The following is a 7,002-nucleotide window of genomic DNA, read 5'->3' on the forward strand; positions in this document are numbered from 1 at the left end:
GGCCCTTACTTTACCCATACCAGCACAGATAAACAACAATATAAACCTCAACTTATTTAAAATTGTCATTAACCATTTTAAAAATAAAACAAGATAATTGGACTGTGAAGATGAACATATGATCTCATTACTATTGTTTAGGTAAATATGTTTTGGGCATTTTCTATATGAATTCACCTAAAACGTAATCAGAGAAGATACTATTTTTAAAATATGGCAAATATATCTTGAGTATAGAATGACTGACCTTGAGAAGGTGTTCAAAGATGTGTGGATTATGTGCTGATGAGGGTTTGTCCCAGGAAATTTGTGCATCAGGATAATTACTTTAATTATTTTCTATTTCTCTGTCATAACCCCCCTCCTATCCCTCTCCTTTCTGATAGCCAGGGAGACTATCAGATGATAATAGCTAACATTCATTCAGGATTTACTTTGTGTCAGGCACTGTGCCAGGAAATATATTATTATTTCCAGTTTACAAATTGGGAAATTATAAAATAAATGAGAGAGCTGGGATTTGAACATACGCTATCTGAACAAAGCCCAGATGTGCAGTTACTACTGTGCTGCCTTGGCAACCTGCTAGCCCTTAGTGCATTTCCAGAATCCAGCACAGGTCCTGGTACACAGTAGGTACTAAGTTTATGTTTGCTGAATTAATAAGTTAGTAAATGGATGAGTAGGTAGCATTCCAGAAGTAGAAGGGAAGACCAGAAATATGAAGATACTTCAGAGAGGTGGTCAAGATGACAATGAAATTTTCTTTATGGAAGAAGCACTATCGGGATATAGAGAAAAATTTTTGTTCATAGAAGTATGTTTGTGATTTGCAATGTGTGTGTGTGTTCTCTTGTGTCAGCACATATAATAGTTTAAACATAATTAGATCTAAAGCTCAAAGTGAGATTTAGGTATTATATTCCAATTTATAGTCAACTAAATGTGACAATATAAACTCCTGACAAGTAAGGATTATAATGGCAATCTTGGCAGATCTTCAAGTATGCTGCTAGAATACATCACAATATTTTAACTCTCTCCATATTTAGGCCTGGAATAAAGTTAAATTACAGCATTTTCCTTACAGACATTTAATCCAATAATTATTACTGAATCTGTTCAGTTGCTCATTTTTATGTGATCACTAGACTTTTCCCTGCTCATCAGATGGTAATCAACGGATTTGCCGAAGATTCAGTGAGATGCAATGTTTTTACCTAGGGTGAAGAAAAGGTCACAGTATTTCTACTATCATTAAACCTTGTCAAACAATGAATCCAATGGAAAACACAATATGATGCAGTCTGAAATGTTGAGGTCCTGGTTCTAAGACACATGGAAAAATATAAAGTTGATTTCATAGCATATTACACTACAGTTGTATGTCTGTGTGGTTTTCATAGCCCAGCTGGGAAAGAGTGGCTGCTGGAAGACTTTGAAATCACGTGTGCCCTTGTACATTGTCCTGGACCTAAGAATGGCAATGGAAGTAAATTAGTGAAGTATGTCATGGAAATGGCCTAGAGAAATATAACTTATAAATATCTGCATATTGAAAATACATACTTTTAAACAAGCATGGAAAAATCTTTAGAATTCTCAGTGGTATAGCTTTAAAATGAAACTGACATGACAAAGTGACAGACCTAGGGTTTTATATAATTTTGGAAGATTTTCTACAAAATGCATTGAAATAAAATTCCATTGCATAATGACAAAACTATGGTCCACACGCTTAAACTGGAACATGTACAGATCCTTAAGTTTATTTGTATATAGGCTAATTTCCCTTCCCATTTATGGTTATTTGAAAATATTGTTAAAATTTAAGCAGAACTATAATATCAAGAAGAAAATAAGGAAATAACTTTTTGCTCCCTATGATTTTAAATTATAAAAGCCAAATTCCCCAAAATGAATACTTTAGCACTAAATTCTCATGTTTCATTCTTTTTCAATAAAATTGTTTTCAAGTAGTTCAAGTAATATTTATTATGTACGGACAGTACACTATAGTTGAGTTCCAAGAACTAAGAAAATTGGGTGGTCTTTTGTGTAAGAGACTGCCTAAATTTTCCAATTCCATTCTCTCTTCCTGTGCACACGGAAGACTACATTGGACTCTTTCCCAATGGAATGTGGGTACAAATGATGTCCACCACTTCTAGGCCTGATCCTTAAAATGTCACCTGGGTGCAGTGGCCTACATCTATAGTCCAGCTATTCAGGGACGCTTAGGCAGGAAGATCACTTGAGCCCAGGGGTTCAAGGCTGCAGTGAACTATGATCATGCCACTGCACTCCAGCCTATCTCAAAATATCTATATATATCTATATCTATCTATATTATATATATAAATAAATATATATAATCTCTCTCTCTCTCTCTCTCTCTCTCTCTCTCTCTCTATATATATATATATATATATATATATGGATTTTTCATGATATTTCCACTGTTGACATGGCCAGAAGGAAAGATATCCATGATGGTGATGCCACTAAATAGAAGCATCTTGGATCTTACTATTTGGAGTAGAACCACACAAGGAGAAGCCATCCAACCTACATAAGACTATGACGTGAGCAAGAAATACAATTTTATTATATTATCTATTGACACTGCGAGAAGTTTGTTTATAATAGCTAGTTTTAATTTTCCTAACATATACAAGAAAACTTACATTAGGTGGAGTTAATGGTAAAATAAAAGCCTGAATAATACAGCATTGACCTAGAATTTGGGCATGAGCTTTCCAGAAACAAAGCAAGCTGGATAGCTAGAAATCCTTACCTTCTTGGGTTGTAAATTCTAATTATATCTAGACATCAAAGAATGAGAGTTAAGACTTCTGAGCCACATTGACCCAGTACAATTTCTCAGTTTAATAAAGTAACTGAGAGCTGTCAATGGAAGAGACCACTACTCACTTTCTAAAATAAACTTCCTAAAATAAAAATCTGAAATTATTACTTACTAAGAAAGGGAGATCTGTGCTTGTGAGATAGAAAATCCATATAGAGAGTTTGGGAAACCATGGAGTTAAGGACTTGGCAGATTTTCAGAAACAGAGTTTGGAGATTGATTTTTAGCTAGGAAGTGAGGAAGACTGTTGTCAACTGGCTGTCTTTCAGAGGGATGTTAACTGGAGTGAAGGTGGTGTTGACCAGCTGGCTTTTAAAGTGTGATTACAGATGCAAAGTTGTCATTGATTAAATAGGATGGATTTAAAACTAATTTGAGTTGTTACTGGCTTTCTGTGGCCAGTAAACAGAAAACAGTCTATTTTTTCTTAGGAGATCAATCTATGATAAAATTTAAAATATGTTTTCTTTAACCTTTGGTTAAAGGTAGTTTTAAAATAGGCGCTATTAAGTTGAGAGGGTAAGGCATCAAAGTGAGAAAGCAAAATATATCAGGCTAAGAACTATGTCCTGAGAGGGATTTGGAGTGGGGTTATTGACCAGTACTATTGACTATTCAACTGACTGGAAGCAAATAGATCAGAAGCCTACTAAGGTTTTGAAGTAATTTATATTGCCAGAGAAACCATGAAGATGGACTTAAACCAACCACTGGTCTCCAACCTTCTGTTATTGCAAAGTTGGCATACTACCCCATGTCCACCTCCAAACAGTCCAAGGAGACCAGGAAGAACCTAGCAGAGAACAGGCCAGGGGTCATGGAGAATGATGAACAAAGTAGTCCCTTCCAGAGACAGAAGCAGGGCCTATTCAGAGCACTTCTACATGCCTGCAGTAGAGACCTTTACAATGCCTGCCTTGCTGGATTCCATCACTGCTATGGAATAGTAACTGCTTTGTTCCTCTCACTCCTTATTTTTCTAAATGGAAACTTTAATTATGGCTTATTATGTCCCTGTTCCATCATTGTGTATTGGTTGGGAGTATGTAGTAGCCACAAAATTGACTCACAATGAATCTTGCTATAAGAATTACTAAAGAAAATAGTTGAAAAAATTATATATATAATTAATATATATAAATATAGTTGTAAAAAATTAATATAGTTTTAGAACTAAAATCTCAGATGATATTTATAAGATATTTGGAGATGGGCAAATAACAGTGGAAATTAAGAATTTGGCATAACAATTTTTGGTTGCATTTACAGTGTTTCTGAGTCAGGCCTGCAGACTGGAGTTTAAACTGTAAAAGCATTTCAGTCCTATGTGGGCTAAGGAGCACCAGTGTGTGTCAAACCAGGCATCCGCAGGTTGTGCTAGATCAGCTGTTCCACATTTTAGCTTTTCTTATAACTGCAATCCGAAACAGGGGAAAGAATGGCTGGAAGGGAGTGCCAGCCTCTTGGATTCATGTAGTTTGGCCACAGGTTTTTACTCCCCAAACATGTGTCTCTAGGTCACTCTACATTTATGAATTTCCTAAGTTCTGATCATGGCTGTGGATTTCAGAGAGATTTACAACACGGTGGCTTTACCAACAGAATGGTGATCAATTTTGTTTATACATAATTTTTAATGGAAATATATTTTGGAATTGAAGAAATAGAAACCAAAAACAATTGAATTTTCACAAGTCCAAAGACAAAGAGGACAATTAAGAAGGCCTGTGTCTAGAAGAACACTGTCTCCAGAAATCAATTTTAATCAAAAAATGAAGGAAGGATTAGAAGCTTTGAGTCCTATGCTTTGGCCTTACTATTATAAAGGAGCAAAGAGGCAGTAAGAATAAAAACAAAATAAAGGAAGAGCAGGTTTATTAAGCTGGAGGAAGAAATATTTCCTTAGGAAAATTGTTGAGGTTGTAGGCAGGTTAGGCAAGCATGATGGAGAAAAGGAGATCTGAGAGGATATGCTAGAGTTTTGGAAAGGGAAAAGGAGGTGTGCCCAGCTACACATAGCTGTTTTAAAAAAAAATTTAAAAAAGGTCCCGGCGCAGTGGCTCATGCCTGTAATCCCTGCACTTTGGGAGGCCGAGGTGGGTGGATCACCTGAGGTCAGGAGTTCAAGACCAGCCTGGCCAACATGAAAACCCAGTCTCTACTAAAAATACAAAAAATTAGCTGGACGTGGTGGTGGGTGCCTGTAATCCCAGCTACTTGGGAGGCTGAGACAGGAGAATCGCTTGAACCTGGGAGGCAGAGGTTACAGAGAGCCTAGATCGCACCACTGCACTCCAGCCTGGGGGACGAGAGCAAAACTCCATCTCAAAAAAAAAAAAAAAGGATTTGGGAGGTAGGGAGGTAGGGGAGGGCTTTTTTAAGTTACTAACAAATCCAACAAAATGACCAAAACTCACAGAAATGTACAAGAGGAAAGCAGGCAAGATCTCGGAGAGAAGCCTAAAAAGAATCCCCTCAGAGGGACCATAATCAGAAAACTATCGATTTGAGCCTTTTAAAAGTTTCTGGTAGAGTCCATAAATGCAATTGGAAAACCAATGCTCAAAGACTGAGGATTATTAAGTGACCTTCACGATGACATAGTTATAGTAAGTGAGGGATGCAGTTATTGCCTATGCCTTGAAAAAACATGCCCAATAAGAAATATAAAGAAAGGCACAGGGAAGTGAAAATACTGAAGGAAAGCCAGGTAGGGCAGTGGTTTATAGAGTAGGTCTGGATGTTGGTCTGATAGGAGAATGCCTCTTGGGTAGAACTGTGTAACACTCATGATTGAGATAGTGCAAGTTATTTAAGACCTGGAAAATTCCACAGTGGAGGAGGGATACTGCCTGGTAGAGCACATGGCAGAGGGATTGCCCCTAATAGGAGACAGGTGTCGGAAGCATCATCAGCTTTCTCAGTGAGGACTGTATGGAAGGGAATTCTCCAGCTGGTGCACACTTGGGGATTAGGAAAAATGTTCCTAAAAGTCAGATTTCATTGTTCCTACAATTCCAAACCAGGCTTCATGGTAGAAACCACAATATATGTTATAAAAGACCACTTGTGGCTGGGCACAGTGGCTTACATCCGTAATCCCAGCACTTTGGGAAGCCGAAGTAGGCAGATCACCTGAGGTCAGGAGTCGGAGACCAGACTGGCCAACATGGTGAGACCCTATCGCTACTAAAAATATAAAAAGTTAGCCAGACATCGTGGTGCATGCCTGTAATCCAAGCTACTTGGGAGGCTGAGGCAGGAGAATCGCTTGAACTCAGTAGGTGAAGGTTGCAGTGAGATGAGATCATGCCACTGCAAAAAAAAAAAAAAAACAAAAAACACTTGCCATAAATTTCTTCCTTTCTCTTCCTTCCTTCCTTCTTTCCTTTTTTCCTTGCTTCTTTATTCTTTCTTTCCTTCCTCCCTCCCTCTTTTTCTTTTTTCCTTCTCTTTCCTTTTCTTTCTCCTTTCCTGCCTTCCTTCCTCTTTCTTCTTTCTCTTTCTTTCCCTTCCTTTCTTCTGTTCTCTTTTTTCTTCTTTTGCTTCCTGCCTCCCTCCTTCCCTCCCTCCCTCTTCCATCCCTTCCTTCCTTCCTTCCTTCCTTCCTTCCTTCCTTCCTTCCTTCCTTCCTTCCTTCCTTCTACAGTTCAGATCCTTAGAGGGAGCTCATTTACCATATCACATTACAGTTTCAGAATTACAGGGTAAAAAGGGGAAATCAAGTTGCAACTTAGAATTGCTTAAACAGGCTAGTCAGGGAAGATGAGTACCTCGGGATGTTTTAGTCTGCCCTATGTCTGGAGTCCTAAGGGAACCTCATCCATTCTCTGCTGTGATTGCTAAGGAATCCCTTAGCAACCCCCAACTCAACACAGGCATTGAAATAAGAATGATAAATTGGAAGAATGAGTTTCAGATTTAAATGATTGTGAACTTACATTTAACTGCATTTTAACTTATATGAGAGCAAGAGAAGTTTTACTTTAATCATGTCCTGCAGATTTGATAATAAAAAGACTTTATAATCAAATTTGAAGTGGACCTGTGTAAGTGGAAGATCTGTATTGTGTACAACTGGAGAATGTATGAAAGAAGGATCTATATTGTATCATGTTATTTTATGCTTTATC

General features: G+C 37.6%; 1 protein-coding gene across 16 annotated transcripts in view; it reads left to right on the forward strand.

The window, feature by feature from the left end:
* LYPLAL1 (lysophospholipase like 1) overlaps positions 1-7,002 on the forward strand; it is a 271,619-nt gene that overhangs the window by 64,846 nt on the left and 199,771 nt on the right. For 13 of the 16 annotated variants that reach the window (XR_007078557.1, XR_007078562.1, XR_001736967.3 and 10 more), the window contains one exon: positions 2,476-2,585. The exons of the other annotated variants lie outside the window; for them this stretch is intronic. The gene's annotated coding sequence lies outside the window, so the exon portion shown is untranslated. The remainder of the gene's footprint in view (positions 1-2,475; positions 2,586-7,002) is intronic. 16 annotated transcript variants of the gene reach the window in all.

Source organism: Homo sapiens, chromosome 1, assembly GCF_000001405.40.
Source record: "Homo sapiens chromosome 1, GRCh38.p14 Primary Assembly".
Classification (NCBI taxonomy): Eukaryota; Metazoa; Chordata; class Mammalia; order Primates; family Hominidae; genus Homo; species Homo sapiens.